Source organism: Homo sapiens, chromosome 12 (genome assembly GCF_000001405.40).
Source record: "Homo sapiens chromosome 12, GRCh38.p14 Primary Assembly".
Classification (NCBI taxonomy): Eukaryota; Metazoa; Chordata; class Mammalia; order Primates; family Hominidae; genus Homo; species Homo sapiens.
The window spans coordinates 54,117,711-54,139,900 of NC_000012.12; the positions used below are offsets into that span (position 1 = coordinate 54,117,711).

The 22,190-nt window shown below is 49.3% G+C and overlaps 3 long non-coding RNA genes across 3 annotated transcripts in view, besides 4 other annotated features; 2 read left to right on the forward strand and 1 right to left on the reverse strand.

Annotated features, from left to right (window-relative positions):
• FLJ12825 (uncharacterized LOC440101) overlaps positions 1-4,524 on the forward strand; it is a 63,981-nt gene extending 59,457 nt beyond the window's left edge. The window contains 1 exon segment of the long non-coding RNA NR_026655.1: positions 894-4,524. This is a non-coding gene — a long non-coding RNA (uncharacterized LOC440101).
• FAM242C (family with sequence similarity 242 member C) lies at positions 3,567-8,685 on the reverse strand. Its single transcript, NR_170197.1, has 3 exons — positions 8,617-8,685; positions 8,050-8,103; positions 3,567-3,737 (listed from the first exon to the last, which is right to left on the reverse strand). It is a non-coding gene; the product is annotated as a family with sequence similarity 242 member C (long non-coding RNA).
• LINC02381 (long intergenic non-protein coding RNA 2381) lies at positions 8,361-15,133 on the forward strand. The gene is made up of 2 exons (NR_026656.1): positions 8,361-8,902; positions 14,280-15,133. It is a non-coding gene; the product is annotated as a long intergenic non-protein coding RNA 2381 (long non-coding RNA).
• Positions 8,735-9,368: an enhancer, noted in NCBI's record as "H3K4me1 hESC enhancer chr12:54520229-54520862 (GRCh37/hg19 assembly coordinates)". NCBI's record gives its function as "activates a minimal SCP1, AML or CMV promoter by ChIP-STARR-seq in primed H9 embryonic stem cells {active_cell/tissue: H9 hESC(primed)}" and the evidence as "EXISTENCE:reporter gene assay evidence [ECO:0000049][PMID:30033119]".
• Positions 9,369-10,004: an enhancer, noted in NCBI's record as "H3K4me1 hESC enhancer chr12:54520863-54521498 (GRCh37/hg19 assembly coordinates)". NCBI's record gives its function as "activates a minimal SCP1, AML or CMV promoter by ChIP-STARR-seq in primed H9 embryonic stem cells {active_cell/tissue: H9 hESC(primed)}" and the evidence as "EXISTENCE:reporter gene assay evidence [ECO:0000049][PMID:30033119]".
• Positions 14,958-15,882: an enhancer, noted in NCBI's record as "H3K4me1 hESC enhancer chr12:54526452-54527376 (GRCh37/hg19 assembly coordinates)". NCBI's record gives its function as "activates a minimal SCP1, AML or CMV promoter by ChIP-STARR-seq in primed H9 embryonic stem cells {active_cell/tissue: H9 hESC(primed)}" and the evidence as "EXISTENCE:reporter gene assay evidence [ECO:0000049][PMID:30033119]".
• Positions 17,162-17,330: a silencer, noted in NCBI's record as "fragment chr12:54528656-54528824 (GRCh37/hg19 assembly coordinates)". NCBI's record gives its function as "represses an EF-1alpha promoter that drives an FKBP-Casp9 reporter gene in an ReSE screen in HepG2 liver carcinoma cells {active_cell/tissue: HepG2}" and the evidence as "EXISTENCE:reporter gene assay evidence [ECO:0000049][PMID:32094911]".

Here is a 22,190-nt window from a genome sequence, read left to right on the forward strand (position 1 = left end):
GGAGGGGAAACTGATCAGCTCCCTCTGTGGTAGGGCCGCAGGAAGAGATGTTGGTATTTGTAATGAAGTGCTAGGAATAAAAACACATACATGGCCGGGCGCAGTGGCTCACGCCTGTGGTCCCAGCACTTTGGGAGGTCAGGGCAGGCGGATCACAAGGTCAAGAGTTTGGGACCAGCCTGGCCAACATGGCGAAACCCCGTCTCTACTAAAAATACAAAAATTAGCCAGGCATGGTGGCGGGCACCTGTAATCCCAGCTACTCAGGAGGCTGAGGCAGGAAAATCACTTGAAGCCTGGAGGTGGAAGTTGAATTGAGCTGAAATCATGCCATTGCACTCCAGCCTGGGCAACAAGAGCAAAACTCGGTCCCAAAAACAAACAAACAACAACAAAAAAAAACCCAGAAAACAAAAAACAACAACCAAAAAAACCCATACACACATACTTATCCCAGTGTCCAGAGCAAATGTTCTGCCACTTACTGCTATGGGTGTGATTTCAGACAGCTATTTAAACCTGAGTTTCAGTTTTTCTCATCTTCAAAATGGAAATATTGATGCCTAATTCAAAGGGTGAAAATTAGTGAACTATAGAAACCCCTTGGTGTATGTCTGGTCCAACAAATGGTAGCTCTTATTAGCTAACATTTTGTAATATCTGCCCACTCTCTCCTCCAAGGGATGGAGAAGTAATGCTGAGTTCCAGACTAGGAAAGGTAGTGGTAGCAGAAAGTGATTTACAACTCTGACTTTTTTCACATTTTCTTTCCAGAGCACATAGTAAGTTCTTGTTGGTTCATTCATTCATTGAACAGTGTTTACAAGTTTGAACAAGCTTGAACAACTTGCCATCATTTTGTTCACTTGTATTCATCTTACTCTCACCACTAGAACTGCAAGGTCCATGAGGGCAGAGGCAGTGTCTGTTGCTGGGTGAGTGACTGGATTGAGCTCAAAGCATGTCTGAAGACTGAAATGGGCCAGGCAAGGAGATGGAAACTGGAGGCCTGGATTCTGGCTCGGTCATACCTCCAAGAACGTAACTTTCCCTCGACCCTGGGGAGTCTTCACAGACCTTCCTTCTGCTGTGAGGCACTGGAGAATCACTTGAGACCAGACTCAGGAAACTCTTCCCTGATGGGAAGACATTCATTCATCCACTCCACATCTCTGAAGCCCCAAGAGAAGGATCTGAATCCCCTAGTCTGAAGAGTCAGCAAGTGTCCAACATAGCAATCTTGATAAAAAGGGAGAATTGATAAAGGAGGGAGCAGCCCCACCTCAGTAACAAGAGGGAGGAAAATTCCAGCTAGTACATGTACTTAACATGAAAGCAGACATGTGCCAAGACCCTGCTTTCATGGATATTAGGTGTTCCCAAATATAAGAAACACCCATTCTTGCCCACAGGCCTCACTGGATACTATCCAAGATGTCTAGAGAATAAGAGGAAAGAGAGAATCATAATATCCAAAAGGTGGAAACAACCCAAATGTTCACCAATAGGTGAACGGATAAACAAAGTGTGATATATCCATACAATGGAATATTAGTCAGCCCTGAAAAGGAATGAAGTACTGATAAATGCTACAACATGGATGAACTTTGAAAACACTATGCTCAATGAAAGAAGCTAGTCACAGAAGGTCTCTTATTATATGATGCCATTCATATGAAAGTCCAGAATAGGGAAATCTACAGAGACTGAAAGTACATTAGTGTTGTTAAGGGCAAGAAGGAATATGGGGGGATAGGGAGGTGATAGCTAAAGGTTACAAGATTTCTTTTTGAGGTGATGAAAATGTTCTAAAATTAACTATGGTGATGGTTCGACATACTTGTGAATATACTAAAACCATTGAATTGTACATTTCAAATGGTGAATTGTATGACACATGAATTATACCTCAAGAAAGTTGCTTTTTAAAAAGACAGCGTAAGGGGTGGGGGGCAGTTGAGATGAAGCAGGAAAACTGTGATCAGAAGCAAAGCTCAGGGGCTGTCTGGCCTGGCTGCCCCAAGTCAAAGCCTGCATTTCATACAGGCAATGTTAGGGTAGCCCCCAAGCCATGATTCGGAAAGATAAATTGACCCCAGATGGAATAGGGCTGGGTCCCTTCTCCCTTGACAGCTCCCTTTCTGTGTTTTTTCTGGCACAAGAAACTCTGTCATCTTGTATAAATAGGAGAAATTTATGGCAGTTTTCCCTCTTCTTCTCCCTGGTGGGCTACTAGGAAAGGTCTAGGGGGAGGAGGGAGCCTGAAATTCCAAAAATATAAATGTGGAAAGACTGGAGGGGGTCGAGGAGTCTCTTTGCCTGCCTTAGCTCTGGCCCCAGCTCTCCTTTCCCTTTGCATGTTTGACCATCTGGGTGATGAGGAGGGTAGAGAACTGGTGCAGCCCGTCCTCTCTGCAAGCCCAAAAGAGATGGGTCCCAAAGCAGATATCCGACAGGAGGGGCACAAGGGAAATCAAGGAAATAGGCTTGGCTGTCCCATGAAATAATTGGAGGAGACACAGACCACTGCCCTCCTTCCTGGATTTGGCTATTTTTGTACTTCCCTGTTTGTTGAGGCAGCCTGATACAGCGGGAAGAGAACTCGTCCTCGATTTAGAAAGATTGACAGAGAAACTAAGTGTGTGACCTTAAGCAAGTCATATCTTGTCTCCGGGCCTCACCTGTAAAAAGAGGGAGGGGACTGAATTTATCAGGGGTTTTCAAATGATTTTAACTCTGGGGTCCTTCCTTCAAATAAAACCGTATGCAGTGACCCAACATGAACATGAGTAGTAGGCTGCTGAGCTTCTTGAAGGTAGGAATGGGAGTCTCAGGGCCCTGTGGTGACTGGCGAGAGGCTTGTCCAAGCACAAGATGATCTCCATGGCTTTTCCAGCCCCGTCCTCAGGAGGGATTTGCCCCCATGGTGAAGAGGCTCAGTTCTGCACACCCAGTGGGCTTGAAATCCAGCTCCACCCCCTCCTGTGTGTCCCTCAGCACATAACTTACCTTCCTTGAACCTGTTTCCTCGTGTGTAAATTGGAATAATAGTAACACATATCTCAGAGGATTGTCACATAGATTACACTAAATAATGTGCATAGAGTCCTTCGCATACTTATCTGGCCCAATAAATATTATTATAGTTATTCCGTGATCTGATGTAATCATTTTTTTATTTTGAGACAGAATCTCATTTTGTAGCCCAGACTGGTGCACAGTGGCATGATGTCAGTTCACTGCAACCTCCGCCTCCTGGGTTCAAGCAATTCTCCTGTCTCAGCCTCCCAAGTAGCTGGGATTACAGGAGTGTGCCACCGTGTCCAGCTAATTTTTGTATTTTTTAGTAGAGATGGGGTTTCACCATGTTGGCCAGACTGGTCTCGAACTCCTGGCCTCAAGTGATCTGCCTGCCTCAGCCCCACACAGTGCTGGGATTACAGGCGCAAGCCATTGCACCTGGCCCGATACAATCTTTTTAATTTGAAATATCTGGTGTGAGAAGGTGAATTAGAAAGGATGACAGCAAAACTGCTATAACACAAAGGCCCCAAAACACAGTAGCATATAGAAAACAGAAGTTTATTTCTCACTTAGTCTGGGAGGAAGCGGTTCCAGACAGCAGGCAGCTCTGTTCCTCCTAGTCAGTCAGGGACGTGTGTTCCTTTCATACCTTTGCTTTGTCTTCCCTTAGGGATGTCTTTTCAGTTGCCTGGTCAAACCTGTCTCAGGCACATCTGCCCAGCTCATGAAAGAGAGAACACAAAGGAGAATTTACCCAATGTCATCAGGCTTTGAGGACATGCTTGCCTCACATTCCCCTGTGTCTACACCTGGCAACAAGAGCAGCTGGGAAATGGAGTGTCCAGCTGGGTGTCTCTCTACCCTCGTGCAGCAAGGAAAGAAGAGATTTTAGTGGACAACGGGCAGTCTTAATCCAGGGCTCAAACCCACACCCGAGCTGTCCTCTTCCTCTTCTCTTCCCAAAGGAAGGGAAATAAAGTCTACAGCCCAGAAAACAATGTGACCACCCATCCCCTACCCCAATCAGGTCCCTGCCATTCATCCCAAGATCAGCAGTCTTGGGAAAGTGGCTTGGAAGCCTCCCTCCAGAAAGACCACCCTTTTGTCCATCTTCTTCACATGGGTGGATGTGAGAAAAGTTTCTCTCCCCACTGCCTGCCTGCCACTCCCTGTCTCAGTTTCAGCTCACGCTCTAGCCCTTTGTTCCCAGTCACCAAGAGTGACTACAAATGCGGGGGAACAGGAGGACCTGAAACTTCATGGAAATTGAGACTGGGACACAGAAGCCATGCTCAGAGGCAGCCTAGGTGAGGGTTCTGATGCCAGGAAATCCAGCTACTACTGTGTAGCCTAAAGCGGGGATTAAGCTCTCAGAACTTCAATGAACTCTTTTGGAAATAGGGGTAAGAAGCCCACTTGTCAGGGCTGTTGTGAACATCAAATGTGATCATGTATGTACCTAGTACATAGTATGCCTTCAATAAATGGTAAGGCAAACCCAAGGCAAATCGAATTCATGTCCATTACTCTGACCCAGCCTTTGCATAAATTCTTTTTTCTTCTCCTTCCTTGTCAATGCATGGCTCCCTCCCTCTTCTTTACTTCCTATCCTCATTCCCCTACCATCTGAACCCTGATGTGGAATCTCTTTTCTCATGAAATCTTCCATGATTGAAAAATTCCTGCTTGGCCACTTCCCACTCCAATACTCTATCTTCGCCCATCTTCCATCTACCCCATGGTCCTGGCCCAAGTTCACATGTGTCCCATCCCTCCCTTCAAAAAGCATGCAGCAATGGAAGGGCTTTAAGTTTGTCATCAAGCAGATCAGAGTTCAGATGCCAACTCTGCCAAGTTCTAGCTTTAGAACTTTGTCAGATCACTTCCTCTCCTTGAATCTCTGTCTTCCCAACCCTCTGGTGAGGTCAAGTGTGTGTGGGCTGGTACATAAAGGATATTTAATCTCCTCTGCTCTACTCAACCTCCCCCAACTCACACTCCCAGGACTAACTCTCTACCAAAGGGAGTTATTAGACCAAGAAAGTAATTCTCCCATTACCAGCCCCACCCCAACCCTGCCCAGAGAAAAAGAAGTGACTTCGAGTCTATGGGTCTTGGAGGGACCACCAACCCAAGAGCTAGAGCAGAAGAAGGACTTGGATATCCTAGCTTCCAGGGTTATAGGATCTCTCCCCAAGCCCTCATATGGAGCCCCAGTTGCAGGACTAGCTTCAGGGATAGGAGTGAAAGAGTTGATCTGATTCCAATCTTAGCCTGTAAGTAGTAGCTCACCTGTGCCTCTATTTTCAGCCTTCCTAGATCAGAAGAGCAACAATATCAATGACAACTAATGCTTACATAGTGTTTCCTATGGGATGGGCATTGTTCCAGGCTCTTCGTACATATAACTCATTTAATCCTGACAGCAACCTTTGAGCTAGGTACTATTAACCCCATTTTACAGACAAGGAAACTAAAGCACAAGGGGTTAAGTAACTTGCCTAGGTCATACAACTCACATAAGGCATGACTGAGATTCAAAACCAGGCCGTCTAGCTCCAGAATCCATCCTGTTAACCACTCTGCCATAAAAAGAGCTAACATTTACTGGCAGTTTCTATGTGCCAAACACTGTGGAAAACACATGGCATGTATTTCTTCTAATTCCAAATAACCCCCTGAGATAAGTTCTATTATTAGTATCCCTGTTTTACAGGTCAAGAAACTAAGGCAGAGAGAAAAGTTAAGCAACTTGCCCTGAGTCACACAGCTAGATATTAATAGTTTCAGAACCCCTAGCTGTTTTGCCTCAAATCCCACCTCCCCACCCCTGCTCGAAGCCCCTCCTCTTCTAGGTGGGTTGTTTAGTTCCTATCACCAGTTCTTCACAAATCTGCTTTACCCCCGACAGCCTACAACCCTTGTTCTCCAAAACTCCTGTTGACCTCCGTCCCTTTCCCTTCCCACTTTCTCCCTAGTCCCTCCGCTCCCCACAAAGTCCCCCAAACCATTCTGTCCCTCTCCCTCTGCTCCCCACCCACCCTCCCCCACAACTCCTGCTGAAACAGATGAATTTCACCAAAAAAGACCATCAGACTTTCCCCAAGCAGGCCCCCACTGTGCCTGATCGCACACCCCCAGGGGAGGCACCACAGTGGCTAAGCTGGAGACCCAGAAATAAAATCCTCATTCTACTTCCCTGCCCCCTCTTCCCATCACTCATCTGGGAATCCAGGGCGAAGAAGGGAGCTAAAGTGCAGAGCATTCATTTAATATTAACAAATCGAAATGAATTCTTTTAATGCCAATTAACTTCGAGCGGCCCCTTATTAATAGTAATTTAGATTCATACTTGGGAGAAACAGGGACGGGGGCTGGGCCAAATGTGCCCAGAATGTCAATGTGACTGGGGAACTGAAAGGGGAGGGGGGCAGTTTTACTTCTGCCCAGTTGGGTTCCGTTTCCCTGAGAGAAATGGATAGTCACTGGAGGCGGACCTTTGGGAAACACGAATTACTCTTGTAATTTTATTTTTGTTACTTCAAGGAATCTGAATAGTTTGAAGCCATGTCACACCATTTTAATAGTTTATTTTCACAGTAATGCTAAAAAGAAGAATTTCCTCAGAGCTGGGATTTACTTCAAACTCTCTCCTAAGCCAAACCTTACTGACAAAAGGGACAAGTCCCCAGGCCAGCTCTCTACCCTTCTTTGTTCAGAGCTAGAGCCAGAGATCAATATGGGCTTCCCCAATCCCTGCCCCTTCTACCTTAACCAAAACTAAAAGGAAGAATCAACACTGTGTGTCTCTCTGAGAAGTCTCCCCCAGGAGGTAAAAGACCCAAGGGGCTGACCCCTAAGCTGTTCAGCTTACATTTAAGGAAGAAAAACAATCTGCCTGCACTTTTCTTAGAATTTAGGGAAAAAATGAGAATTTAAAATTCAATTTCATGTATCAGAGTTCTCCAGAATACAGCCAAGTGTAAAGAACTTAGTCCCAAATGAAAAAGTTGAACAGAAATTCTGCTCTCACTCGTTTTGCCGGCTTGGAGGTCAGACTGGAGGTGTCCTGAACTAGAACCAGAGCATAGGTTCTGACCCAAGAAGGACACTGTCTACTTCCCAGGCATCCCTCCTTGGCTGGGAGGAGAGGGGAGGATGAGTCCGTTGGAAGCTGAGAATTGTGGAAGCTGGAGATGGGAGTTCTGAGATGGAGGAGGCAGGCGCGTGAAGGAGGTCAGGGAAAGGCAAGTAAATCTACTAACCATTGAAGTTTATAAAATAAAAACCTTAAAAATGGTTTAACATGCAAAAGGTTAAATTTTAAAAAGAGGCCAGGTTTTAAAGAAGGTAAAATACCTCAAATTTAAACAAATAAAAACGAGGAAAATACACAAAACATTTCAAGCAAATTGTTCTTCAGAAGAGGAGAGGTTGGAATTAATCAAAAGACCTTTTTTACACACACACACCCCCCAAGAGTTTCCCAAACAATAAATTCATTTACAAAACAAAAAGAGGAATCAACGCAAAACCTCATCCACACACAGAGGAAAATAAATTGTGGTGATTCTGTAACAGCTGAAAAACTAGTGAGGGAGGAGAAAAATGAATAAACTCTAAATCTATTAGGTGATATTTATAAATAGCAAAATTGGAGGATGGAATGGAGAAAGGAGTTGAACTTATCATTAAAGAAGTAACACATGTGAAAACATAAGGTGTAACTCATCCCCAAAGAAAAGTAAACTCTCCATAAAGTAGCAAGTATACAAATTTATTGAAAAGGAAGAAAGTACCACTCACCCCCCCCAATATAAGTGTATTAATTTGAATTAAAATTTTCTCCAAATCCAAGATAGGTTACACAAAAGAATACAAACATATTTTTTTTCTTTCAACTAAGAGGAAAAACAAAATCCGATTTAAATTCACGAATGGGACAGGAAGGGAGGCTGTGGTTTGCAGGTGCTAGTAAACGGGGTGAGGGTTGTGAAGAGTTTGAGGGGTAGAGGACCAGCTTACCTCGCTTTGGAGCCGCGGCGGCCAACAGGAGTGGGCCAAGGACCCTGCCAGTGCCTGAGTGATAGGGGAAATAAGGAATAGGGGATTCGGGTGCCCCTAGACGAATGAGGAGGATGGAAAGACTGGGGGTGCCCATCTCCCCTCCTCTGCCCGCCTCCCTCCCTCCGGTACCCAGGCCTAGAGAGCTACTGAAAGTTACAAATTGCTTCCATTATTAGCTCATCCCGGGCGGCCTGGTCATTGGCCAGCCCCTGGCCACGTGGTCCCTCGTACCAATCGATCGAATTCTAGTCGCAATTCTCTGTCTGTCCCTCGGCTCTGGGGAGAAAGGGGGGGCTGTGGCGTGGGGGCTGAGGAGGGGCTAAGGCGGGAGGGGCGCCTCATCCCTTCACCCTCCCTTTTCGCCATGTGGGGGCCCTGAGCGCCGCCCCAGAAGAGGTCGAGGGAATGTTGTGGGCTGGGGCACACCAGCACGGCAGAAACTGGAGAAAGCGAGAGACGTCGCCAGGGACCCAGGGACCTCTCCCTCCAGTTCCCCGGGCCCGCCCGGCCCTGATGGCCACTCACGCTATAGCGCCCACTCTGTCCTGGGCCATCCCGCGCCAGCAGTGTAGCCCCCAGCCCGGGCGCCTGAATGCTCTCCCTCCGGATCGCTGCTCGGGTCCCCACTTTGGCGACCGTGCCCCCGAGTCCTGCTTCCCCGGGGCCTGCTCTGTATCAGGCGCCTGCGCCTTCAAGGGTACCCGGCCCGCCTGCCCTCCCCAAGAGCCGAGTTTGCGCTCCTCCCGGAATCGTTTGAGAGAAGGACAAACTTTTGGCAGGATGGAAATCTAGATGAGCCTGTCCGGAGCAGGTAAGCTGGGCCCGGGACGGGTGCGATTCAGCCCGAGAACAATCTGTCTCTCCCCGTCCCGGTCTCTCCCTCCCCTTACCCCTGTTTCCCCTGCAGGCTGACATATTAATCTGCCTTCCCCCGGGAGAAATTTGGGCTGGGGTTGGGCTTCTGTCAGATGCATGGGGTCAGAGCAGCTTTCCTCCCCGAGTTTAGGGACTAAGGTGGTAGCTGGCAGGGGAGGGGGAGGGTTGCTTCCGAAACTGAGGATTGAGGGGAGGGTTAGGGGCCGAGAAACCCAGAGTCTGAGGGAGACGACTTCTTTCCTCAAACGCAACTTGGGGGAACTTCGGAAAAGTTTTTTGAGGGGAGATGGAGAAGGGAGCGGAGTTGGGGTTTCGAGGGCTAAAGTGGGAGAGAGGGTGCTCCGCTTCCCGTACTGAAGGAAGGATGTGTGTGCTTATTCCCCAGTCGGGACCGATTACCAGCCTAGAAAAACCCAGCCGCGTCCCAAACCCGCTCACCCCAGCAGGCCCTTAGAGACGCTTGGAGATCCCCAGACACGCCCCGCGGAAAGGGAAGGAAATGCCAGCCCGAGTTGCCGACTCTGCCGGGACGGGGCGGGGGATCCGCCCAGAGCGGTCCCCTGCTGTCCTGGGCCCTTACGTTGATTCTAAGTTAGGAGTGATCTGAGAGAGGGAATAACTCCCAAAAATCTTTTTTTTTTTTTTCTGAATCCAATTTGAGTCAGAGACCCATTTCCTTGAGATGGAGCCAAGCGAGTGCCCCCTCCCGCCTCCAGCACAATCTCCCGCTCTTCTCCAGTTCCCAAAGGAGGGCAAGGAAAAGGCCCCTACTCTCCTCCCAGGGCTGAGATTTCCTCCCCCACCCAAGAGATGCCCCAGGAGGAAGGAATGGAGAGGTTCTTCAAAGGGCAGTCAAGAGCAGAGGGTGGGTTCAGAGGTCACAGCTGAACTTGGGGCCCAGGACAAGGGGGAAGGGCGGGCCCAGGCCGGTGTAGAAGCTGCGGGGTGGCCTGGGGAAGTGGACAAGGGCAGAGGCCGCTGCAGGTGTTGGGGGGTACCCTGGAGCCCGGGGTGTTCCTGGGCGGGGAGGTCCAGCCAAGCGGCAAGGGTCTGCGCTGTGCCTTTAGTTTTTAGGTTGGGCCCCTCCTGGGGAGCACCCAGCTGGAGGAGCCAGGCAAGTGGCAGAGGACACCTTCCGACTCCTTGGAAAGGGCCAGGAAGCGATCTGGATCCTAGGAGAGAAAATTCCTACGTGGAACATGTGGTGTTCTGGCCCTTCCTGGGTAGACACCTGCAGAGGCCACTTGGCCCTGCCGGGTCAGAAGCCACAAATCTGCCCAGGCCTTTGTTTTCACTATTCCTGAAGTTTTTCTGCTGTGGCCCAGCACCTGCCCTGGCACCTGCTCGGCATCTGCTCATTGGCAAGCCCCGGACGGAGTTGGACTGGCCTAGCTGAGAGGTTTAGGAGGGCTTCCGCTGGCACTGCCAACAGGGAGTTTGGCTTGGTCTCCCAAAAAAAGGGCCTTTGAGAAGGACATGTCCAGGGGCAGACACGAAATCCACTGATACGCAAAACGAATGTAAACCCTTTTCTTTCCTCACATCTTGTGGCCCTTCACACCTCTGCAGTTCAGAGGATTTGGAATGGAAGGCCTCATCCATCCCCAGTCCCAAAGCAAACGTGGGAGCCAGCTTGGGCGTCTTCTTGCAGGCTGCTGGGGCTTTGTGTGCTCTGAGAGAAGATGTCTGGTCCTCTGCCTACCCCACTCCCCCTTTGATGAATGTGGTCCTTTTTGCTCCTGCCTCTCCAATACTACCCCTCGCCCCACCCCCCCACCCCCAACCCAGTCCCACAGATCTATGGGACTATCTCTCTTTTTCTCTTTCCTTGCTCCTCTTCCCCTTTCTTCTTAGGATTGATGGACTGACAGCAGTTTGGCAAGGCTTCCCTAAGCCTGTAATAGGGAGCTGTGGACCCAGCCCTGACTTCTCAAGTAGGGGGAAACAGCTCTATTCCCGGGCCCTTGAGATTGAGTCTCAAGTTGACAGGAGTTGAGAAAGAAATGCATGAAGGATGGCTGGGCTTACGCAGGACAAAAACCTCTACTGGGGAGGGGCCAGTTTTGTGCCTTGTGCCTACTGCTGAGAGGGAATTTAGAAACAAAGGAAGATAAGAAGAAGGCCTAGGGAAACAGCATAAAGGACTGGAAAAATTCAGAACAGCAAAGAGAAAAAACTGGGAGAGAGGAAAAGATGTGAAAAGGCCCTAATGCTGGAGACAGAAAGGTATTCTGGAAGGGTGGCTGGGATAGAGATAACATGAAAGGAATATTGATAAAGAGCAGAAGGAAGAAGCAGGACTAGGTTTGTTTGGGTTTTTAAGATTAGAGATAGTCTGGGGCCTGTTAAAATAGAAAATAGAAGAAAAAAGATTAGAGATAAAGACAGAAAGGAAAAGAAAAGAAAAATAGGGAGAGAAACAGAAAGCAAATGAAAGGAGAGAGCTAGAGAGTAAAAGAAAAAGGAAGGGAAAGAAAGGGAGGTAAAAGTGAGAAAAAATAAATGGAAGGGAGACAGAAAGATAGGTAGAAAAGGAGGAAAGACAGGGACAAGGGAAAGAAGCAAGGACAGGGGAAGGAATGGAAGAAAAAGAGAAAGTGAAGGTAGGGCAGAAATGAAGCAAAAGAAGGAAGGAAAAATGAGAAATGAAGATACAGTGAGATAAAGAAGGAATAAGGGGAGTGAGGGGAAGGCGGGTAGAGAGAGAGAGAAAGAGAAACACGAACTCAACTAAGGTTAACGGTTAACAGAAAGGGGATCCCGGTTCCTGAGGAGCACAGGGAGGAAAGAGGAGATGGAGGGTGAGCAGAAAGGCCAGTTGGGGCCCCTCCCCGCCTCACCTTGGGCTGCGGAGGCCCTGACCGCCACCACTCCGCCGTCTCTAGGGCCCAGACCTGGGTGATGGCTGCCTGTGAACCGTGGGAGGTAGAGGCAGGGGCTGGCTGCCTGCATACGGGCTTCTCTTCTCGAAGCAGCTGAGCGAGCTGGAGTTCTTCCTGCAGCCCTACCTGCCCCCGACACAGCACGCCAAGCTGGACACATGGCGTTGAGGCTGTATGACATGCAGGTCCAGATCTGGTTCCAAAAGGCGTGCATGAAGTACAAGAGGCCAGTGAGGCAGGAATTGTTTGTGGATTCCCACCCTGGCGGCCCCTCTCCCGGGCTCAATCCTCTCACCCGCAGCCCCAAGTGCCTCCATTCCCACCCTACTGGCAGAGGCTGTCTGAAGACCGGGCAGCTTTGTTCCGGGCTCGGGGGTGCTCTGGTTCTGTGAGCTTGGGCCTGTTTGATCATTTGTTGTTGTTGTTGTTGTTGTTTGTTGTTTGTTGGTTTTTTTGGTTTGTTTGTTTGTTCGTTTTTAGATGGAGTCTCACCCTGTCGCCCAGGCTGGAATGCAGTGGCACGATCTCAGCTCACTGCAGCCTTTACATCGCCGGTTCAAGCCATTCTCATGCCTCAGCCTCCTGAGTAGCTGGGATTACAGGCATGTGCCACCACGGCCAGCTAATTTTTGTATTTTAAGTGGAGACGGGGTTTCGCCATATTGGCCAGGCTGGTCTCGAACTCCTGACCTCAAGTGATCCGCCCACCTCAGCCTCCCAAAGTGCTGGGATTACAGGCATAAGCCACTGTGCCCGGTGATCATTTGTTAAATGAGCCCTTTGCACTGGAGGGTTTTTCTGTAGTTTTGGTTAGCCTGCCTGAGTATGTGCAAATGAGACAGGGATGAAGATAAGACCTAGTCCACTTTGCAAGGGTGGGAGGGGAGTGTGAGGGTGTAGGGGTTGGGAGGATGGGAGGCTGGGAGTGAGATCTTCATTTTCTTCCATTGGTGAGAAGAAAAATCTTCCTCCTTTGCTATCCTTATCTCCAACCCTGCCCCAGAAAACCACCTTTCAGGTCAAGGAGTTTCTCCATGCCAGGAGGGGTTGGATTCATCTGCAAAGAGCTTGGGAGGAGGTTTGCAAATCCTGGAAAAGCCAGAGAAAGGATCTCATACATGAAAGGGAAGGAAGACATTCCCTACCCGGGCAAGTGGACCTTAGGTCTGCAGTAGAGTTCACTGAATTCACACACACAAAGAGATTAATTGGTAAGGTGACTTTAGATTTAGCTATAGAGAGGATCAACTTGAGGTTGCTAGGTATCTTTAGCCTGTTGGGCCTGCACTCCCCATGCCCTGCTCATGTGCTCTGGTTGATTCACAAGGTTTCTTAGAGCCAATTCCTTTGTCTCCCAAAAGTGGGATGGGGCAGGTCACTGAGGTCAGCCAGTTCCTCCAAGGGCAGTGTATGCCTTGAGGATGGGCTGGGGCACCCCCAAACCACTGGCTAGAAAGGCATGTTCACAGTAAACCTTGCAGTGCTGTCTCAGGGAGGCCTCTGACCAGCACTGCCTAGCATTGCTCTTTAAGCTTTTCCTCCCCTCTTTTCTCTAGCTTCTCCCTTCCTTTATTTCTCTTTCTCTCTCTCTTCCTTCCAACCTTTCTGATTTCTCTGTCTCCCTTTTCATCCAGTCCAAGTTGGGGATCTTGTACTATCTTTGTACTCCAGATGGCTCTGCTCTGAGCCCTTTAGGCTGGTTAACATGTACCCTGCCCTCAAGAGTTCACTATTTGGATGCAAATAGCAGGATTAGAAGATGGGGAGGGAGCAGCTGGGCGCGGTGGCTCACACCTGTAATCCCATCACTTTGGGAGGCCAGGGCGGAAGCAATGCTTGAGCCCAGGAGTTCAAGACCAGCCTGGGAAACATGGCAAAACCATCTCTACAAAAAATACAAAAATTACCCAGGCATGGTGGTGTGCACCTGTAGTCCCAGCTACTTGGGAGGCTGAGGTGGGAGGATGGCTTGAGCCCAGGAGACGTAGGTTGTAGTAAGCTGAGATCGTGCCACTGCACTCCAGCCTGGGTGACAGAGCAACACCCTGTCTCAAAAAAGAAAAAAAAAGATGAGGGGGGAAATGGGGAGTAAGCTTTGCTAACCAGATGTGGGATGAATCAATTAGTTTTATGTATTAATCATGATTATGACCTTCACATCCCCTTGGCTCACCCCTAGACAATTCTTCCCCACTCCCAGCCATCTGCAAACCACAGTCAGCCTGTCCCTGCTCCCAAAAATGGAATTGCTGATGCCCTCAAGGCTGTTACTCTCCCAGGGTGAGTGAGAGTGAGGTCAATGGCGCCAGGTCGGAGCCTCAAACTCTTAAATAAACAAAGCATATTTCCCTATTCCTGATGCAGTTGGGGGTCATCTATCCCTTGGAATGGAGAGGCTGGCAATTCTGGCTCTTGGCTATCTTTCCACAGAACACCCCTGATTAGCCAGGCCCACCGCCATCCACATCTGCTCGGCAAAGAAGGAAGGCAGCTTGTTCCAGACCTTGGTGAGCAGCTGCAGACTGCCTGCCTAGAACAGCCTCCTTACTCCAGCCTGGCAGGGAAGGAAGGAACCTGACTTGCTTCGCAGGATCTGGAAGCTCAGCCGGCAGAGCTGAGAGCCGCAGTTGCATCCTGGAGCCTGATGCTAGAAGCAGCTTCCGTCTTTGGGTTCTTGCTGCCTCGGCCTCTGCTCTGTTCAGTTTGCTGTTGTGTTTTTCTCCCCCATGTTGGGGTGGTGGGGTACAGGGAAATAAAATGCTTTCTCCCAGGCCCCTAATCCTTCCCCATGCCTCCATCAGCCTCAAAGCTGCTGACAGTCATGAACTGCACCTTCCAGCCCTGCCCATAAGCTACTCAAAGCAAATTCAAATTCTCTTCTGGCCAGGAGGAAGGGCAGATGCTCCCTCCTTCCTCAAGCCTCCCTGGCTCATTGATCCATTTTGAGGGCATTTGGGGGTCAAAGTTGAGACCAGATTGCTTCAGTTTGTATAAAATTAGCATTTCTTATCACACCAAGGCCACACCTGTTCTCTGGCCTCACAAACCAGTGAGGATGTAAAGGTTTGTTGAGGTGGAGGAACAGAAGTGAAATGAGCAATCTGCTCCATTTAGAAGTCAGTCGCTTCGGCTGTTCATTCCACTAATATTTATCTAGTACCTATTCTGTGCCAAGCATTGTCTCTACCTCAGTTTGCCACAAATATGAAAAAAAAAAAATTCTTGGAACTGTGAGGCTTCAATGTGTTGTGGACCAATATACAAATAAACCAATGGAAAAGAAAGTGTGGTTCGGAGTCAGCTGATTTTCATTGCAGCTTTCCATGTGCTGGGTCTAAGAGCCCCTGACTTCCGAGCTCCAGCTACCCAGCCCCAGCTGGTTGACAAGCAGGACTTCCCTGGGGCCCATTTGTTTTTCCCACTGGAAAAATGTTAGAATGGGAGCAAGAAGCCTGTGCTGGGATCAACCGCCATGAAAGTCCCAAAACAAAGGGTTTGGGATGGGCGGCGGTGGGGCCCTCCCAAACATTGCTCCGTCAGAGGTGAGGGAGGGTAGGGGTGATGTGATACGTTTCTCCAGGTTGCAGAGCAGGTCTGTGAGTTTGCCTTGGTGTAATCACGTGCCTGAAGGTGATAACAAGGGTGTGCATGTGTGAGTGAGCTGAAGGGGGGCAGAGAAGTGTGCCTGTGCCAGGCTTGTGTACACCGGGCCCAGATGCCTGCACAGGTGCCAGTGTGTGTGTGTGGAGGGGGATAGAGGTGCCTGCAAATCTGAACATGTCTCTCCATATGTGACCCTCAGTGTATGTGAGAGTGTGTGTACCCGCTGAATTATGATAAAATTACACCGACCCTTACAGAAAATCCATAACAGCCTCGGCCTTTCTCCCCCGACCTCTCGACCTCTGGGGTGCCTGAGGAAAGGGTTGACCTGGTCACTGCCTCCTCCTAGTCAATGAGTCCCCCTCCATTAGCATAAAACATGAATCTGCTGGCAGCTTGACAAATTATAACTAGCAGCCAGAGTTTTGCCAACTGGCTGGCTTGGGTGCTGTCTATTTATCATTGAAAATGGTAAATCATAAGAATCCAGATGACTTAATTATTCAAATCCACCCAGGACCCAGAGAAGCTGCAGGCCCGTCAATCTCAGCCCTGGGCTCACAGAGAAGAGTGGGGGAAATGCTGTGAGCTTGTGAGCTGGAAGAAGCAGGTTCCATTGCCGCCTCTCCCCTACCCAGAGAGCAGGATTTTTCTCTGCAGCCCCTTCCCCTCCCTGCCGTTCTGCCCACCTTTCCAGCCAGAAGCCCAGCCAATTGTTTTGGTTGCTGGCCTCCCAAGGCTCTCCCTCGCACGCCTCCCGCTGCCCACCACCCGCTCCTCAAGCTCAGCCAGTGTTTCCCGGCCTCTCTTTGTGTGGATGTTAGCTCTTTCTCTCTGTTTCAGTGCCCTCATTTTTATTTCTTCTCTTTCTCCTATTCCTTTCACCATTTCTCTTCGTCTCTCCTCTGCCCACAGATAGACACTGAGCCCCGCACAGGGCCTCTCTGGTGGAGTTTTGCCTGCTCTCCTGGCCCCTTTGTCCTCACTGTCCCAGAGGTGCCAGCTCAGGATCCCCACGCATACGCACCCCAACCTTAACCCAGCGCTCCGAGTGCTAGAAGGCCTGAATTCGCGTCTCTCTGCTGTGGGGCCATATGGAAACACACATGTCAGTGGATAATACTGGGCCTGCCCCCACACCCCATACACACAACCTTTCTGTCCCTTTCTTCCGTGGATTTCTAACTACCATTATGCACAACTTGGGAGGTAGTGGCCAGGCTGTCAGAGATGTGCCCGGACCACTGAGGCAGGGCTTCGTCTCAAGAAGGCCCATCCCTCACTCCCAGCATGGAACTACCTCAAGCCCCAGCAGAGGGATTGCTCAACATGAGCTTTCCCAGAAGGAGAAGAAACCCTGTTTACAGAACAAGTCCTAGATCCAGAGGTCTGCACACTGAGCTTCTGGGGGGCCCTTTGATGTTTGGGTCCTTTTATCTTTGTGTCCCTCACAGTCCAATATAAATACGTCCTACTTTTTCTTGCAGTCCTGGACCCCGTGAGAAATTTATGCCCTTCTAGACCCACAATGGCAGGTGGGAGGCACATATTCACCAATGCTGATATTGCTTTGACCCCAGAGGGGAATGTGAGGAGCAAGGAGGTTGCCAGAGCCCCTCTGCTTGAATGGCATCCCGGTCTATTCTTTTGGAGGGCTTGCTTTACCTGTAAGGGCCCTGGAGGCTCCTCAGAGCCACTTCTGTGTCTGCAGATGCTTGTCAACTTGGTTCTGGGATTCAGTTTGGCTTTGTCGGGGTGTGTGTGTGAGCACGTGCACACCTTTCGTGGATAACCTGGAGTCTTGACATACTGATGGGTCGTGCCTGGTGGCGTGCATGCCTGCACAAGTGCGCCAGTGCCCCTGATGTGTATGTGGGTGAGTGTGTATGTGTGCATGAACACACACTTCCAGAAAGAGCCCTTGTGCTGAAACAACGAGTGACAATGTCCCCACCAACAGGACACCTGAGGAAACAGCCCTCTCCATTCCATTTTAAGGCCTCTGAGCAATGTTGTTGTCAGTGAAATATTGGACTTGGCATATCATAAAACCTTAAAGAAGGAGCTACCTGTTTCTGCTACTGAAAGTAAGTTCTTCCTAGAGTCTAGCCTTCTCTTCTTCTTTCAGGGCGGAATATGAGCATAGTCAGAAATCTCGAGAGGGGGCTCCCTACTCCTCCAAGAGAACATACGTGACATATAGGGAGCCCTTCCACAGCCAGGCTCATCCCCACAGCTTAAACACTTCATCCCCTCACTCTTCCCTTCTTCTCCACCTTTCCAAGCCAGGGTGATATTTGACAAGGGCAGTGGCGAGGGGTGAAACTTGGGGCGGGTGGCTGGGGGAAGGATAAAGATTCAAAAGCAGGCCAAGCTGCTGGAAGGCAGGAGATCAATAAGGGGAGACAGATTGGAGACAGGTTTCTCTCACTACTTCCCCACCCCTCGCTGGCTCAGCACCCCCGCCCCAGCTCCTGAAAGCAGGTGGAGGACAGAGCCAAGCACTGGCCTCTCCCTGCCCTTCTAACTCAAACAGGTTCCTAATCCCTGGGTAGAGGGTAAACAGCCTCTAAGCACGGCCAGGATTAACCACAGAAATGCCGCTAATGTATTTCGGGGCACTGCTCCCTGCCCCTACCCCCACCCTGTGTTACTAATTAGCCCAGCAGCAGGGAGAAGCTTGGGAGGAGCAGCTCAGAATGCCTTTGTGCAGGCTCTGAAAGCACAGGTCTGGGCTCTGGACAGTGTCTCTGGTGCTAGACAAGCTGGGGTGGCAGAGGATTCCCGCCCCCTCCCCGCCACTCCTAAATCAGCTCAAAGGCAGACAGGTTTTTCTCTGTGCCCTTCCTGAATCCCCATCTCTCCTTTCCTGTTCACAGCTGGGAGGCAGGTGGGGGACAAGAGGGAGAGTGGAACCGGCTCTGGAAATCAAACGATGCAATAAAAAATTAATTGTCTAATTAAAACCATGAGGAAGCCCCTTGCCAGAGTTTGGCTCTGAGTCGTCAGGGCTATAAAGGGTGGGAAAATGAGTCTCAGCTCCTAATAAATTCCTGATTTGCAGCTTGGTCTATCAGCAAAGGAGCACTGAGCGTTCCACTGGCTAGGCCTCCTGGAGGTCATTCCACCCTCTCTCTGCCCCAACCCAGCCATCACACCCAAAATCCTACACAAGCCCACAGTCAGGGTTTCCCCAAAAGGAGAGAAAGCGGGGACCCTCAGTCTCCCTGATCTGATGCTTACCCATTTCTTCCTGGTCTTTCCTCGGGAAAGGAAAGTTCTGGAAACTTCCTCAACCAAAGAGTTCTTCATTTAGGTTAACTAATAACTGTATGAACAAGTTTGCTATGTAGGTTCATTTTGACCTCACCTCTTCCACTTTTGTGAAAAGTATAATTTATGAACTGATTTATGATTCCCTCTCTTAGATCTTAGTGCTGATTTTTGCAGGTGAATGACAGAGAACCAAGCTAAGAAATTAATCTCCCCTCTAAAAGAGGGCTGTGCACCCTGCCCAGTTGACCAAATCCTCTGGAAGAATGAACACAGAGCTAGTCCAGAAAGGAGTGCAGAGTTAGGCAACTCTCATGGGCAGATGGATGCCCAAACCTTCTCCCTGAATCACTGAACCATTTCTTCACTTGGGTCTGCCTGTGTAGACACAGGCTCCATGCCTCTATTCCCTCCCTTTCTTGGCAAAAACAAATGCATTATACATCATCAGAGGTATTAATTCATAATAACAGCGGGAGGAGGTAGTTAGCATACTGCCTTCAACATCATATTACATTATTTTATTATACAGAATGCAATATGAACTCTATATCTGTGATTGGCTTCTTTAAACAAACATGGCAGAACAAACAAGGGTTGCCCTTCAAAACAGTCACCTGCAGGGAACATACACTCATTCCTTATGTGCCTCTATTGATTACAACATACCTGCAGCTTCCTTTTAAAACTGACTTCAGAGCCAGTTACAAAGAATTCAAGGCAACCATTATTAACTGATTTTTTTGTGGGGGGGGGGGCGCAGCGGCTGACTGATTCCAAAAAAGCAAAGCATAAAGATTTACCACCAATAAGGACGATCAAAAAACTGAGTCACACACCCTGAAGACAATTCCAAAAGAAGGCTGCAAAAAATTGTGTCACTGCACCCTTGTTGAAATAAGGGGGTCTCCCCACAAGGTGGCTACTCGCAGGCAGCGGTGCCCGTCAGAACCAGTTCTCCATAGCCACATCTGGAGCACATTACTCATCATTCCTGATGATCCTTCTTTCGTTCATCTGGTTGTTATTTTTCATCCTAAACAACGGACTAAGCTTTCCCTAAGAAGGAGAAAAAAGAAGAAAACAAATTCCTGACCTCTATCTAGGTCGGGTTCCCATTTCTGATTTCAGCGAGTTCCCATGCGCAAGTGTAGCCATCGTGGCTAGGCCATTCTGCCTCTAAGATCCGCAAACCTAGAGACTGGAGTGTAGACTCTGCTTCTGTTTCACCTCGTTGTTATCGTTGGTTGTTTGTTTGTTCGTTCGTTTGGGGGAGTTTTCTTTGAGGCAGGGTCTTGCTCTGCCACCCAGGCTGGAGTGCAGTAGCACGATCATGGCTCACTTCAGCCTTGACCTCCTGGGCTCAAGTAATCCTCCACCTCAGCCTCCCAAGTAGCTGGGACTACAGGCACACACCATCATGCCTGGCTAATTTATTTTTTATTTTTTGTAGAGATGGGGTCTCCCTATGTTGTCCAGGCTGGTCTCAAACTCCTGGCCTCAAGCAATCCTCCCACCTCAGCCTCCCAAAGTATTGGGATTATAGGCATGAGCTACTGCCTCACCTCGCATTAATTGCCTACCTATTAAATGCCAGGCCCCACTAGGTGCTTACATATGGGTTATCCTTTCCAATCCAGGGATTTTAAGACTGTTTTCCTTCCCTGATGATGGACTTTTGTCATTTCTAATCTAGCCCAAGACCACGCACTGCTCCATGGTCCTGTTACTCTGGGAGACAGCTTCCATTCCTGATACCACTTTCATGAAGACTTAACTTCGGAAATCATTTTGTCCATCTCTCTCTGTCTCTGGGCAAAGTCTCACTTGAATATTGCTAGTTCTCATGTTGGCCAGCTTGGGCTTCTAAACAGAACCCTGACCCAAAAAGGGCATCATGGTGACCCATAGTTGCACAGCTCCTCAGGGGAGAGGGGGGCATCTTACACATTGAATTCTATGTGAATGGCACCACCTAGAGTTGTGCTCCAGGAATTCAGTGAATGGCGCTCTCTGGAGCTCAGCAATGCTGCCACACCCTACCACCCAGAGATACCTGGTGATCAAGTCAGCCTTAGGCAGCATTCAAGGATGAAAAACCTAGGTTTTGAAAACTAGGGTATCAATATCTCAGCCCCCCAAAAAAGGGAGTGGAGATCCTCTCCACCTCATTGACTGCTGAGAGATCCCTGCTTAGCACACAGCTCACCAATCTTCTCTCCATCAACTTCAAAGTCCCCTCCAGCCTCAGGGAGGCCCCCAAGGGTATGAAGCAAAGCTGGTTTGATCTGAGCTTGGTGTTGGGTGGTGTCACCCCAGCACAGTTCAGGCTAGGCCTAGAAATCACAGTGAGACCAAAGACCCCATCTTGGGAAGGGATAGGAGTGGGGACTGGAGGGGTGGGTACAATCTTCAGAGCATAGTATATTGTTTACAATCGCCCAGGTCCCTCCTAGACACAAGGCCTGCCAGGCTCACACTTGGGTCTTCCCTAGCAGGCAAAGCTGTTTTGCCTGCTCACCCTCTGTCAAGTTTATCCCACATGCACATCCCCCTTCATCCTCTGCCTAGCCCTTCCTTCCCCTTCTCTCATGTCCTTTCTTATTTTCCTCTCCCAGAGACTCTGAATAAAACCCTCTGACCGCTGTAATCTCCACAACATTCCCCTTGAGCACTGATTCTCTCAGCTGACAGGGCCCTTCAGGCCGTGTGTCACCAGGACAGGAGCTTCTAATGTGTCCTACTCACCCCCTTATGTCAGAACATCCCTGACTCAACAGCTCATGGAAGCTCAGCCCTCAGAGCCCCAGACAAAGCTACCACGTGGAGGCACCAGCACTCACAGAGAGGGTCAGCTGGTCCACAGCCAACCTGTCTTGACTGAAGTCTTCCTTCATGCTAGGCACTGTGGGCCATAGAAACAGTATGGGTAGTCTGGCCCCAAAGAGCATTTGGTCTCATGTGACAAAAAAGAGATACATCCATCCCAGATTTAAAAATAAGAATAGGGGCCATGCCTGGTGGCTTATACCTGCAATCCCAGTACTTTGGGAGGCCAAAGTAGGAGGCTCTCTTGAGGCCAAAAGTTTGAGACTAACCTTGGCAACGCAGCGAGACCCTGTTTCTACAAAAGAAATTTTAAAAATTAGTGGGGTGTGGTAGCTCATGCATGTAATCCCAGCACTTTGGGAGGCTGAGGTGGGTGGATCACTTGAGGTCAGGAGTTTGAGACTAGCCTGACCAAAATGGTGAAACCTCATCTCTACTAAAAATACAAAAATTAGCCAGGCATGGTGGTGGGCACCTGTAATCCTAGTCCCAGCTACTCGGGAGGCTGAGGCAGGAGAATCGCTTGAACCCAGGAGGCAGAGGTTGCAGTGAGCCGAGACCATGCCACTGCACCCCAGCCTGGGTGACAGAGCAAGAGTCAGTCTCAACAAAAAGAAAAAAGAATTAGCTGAGTGT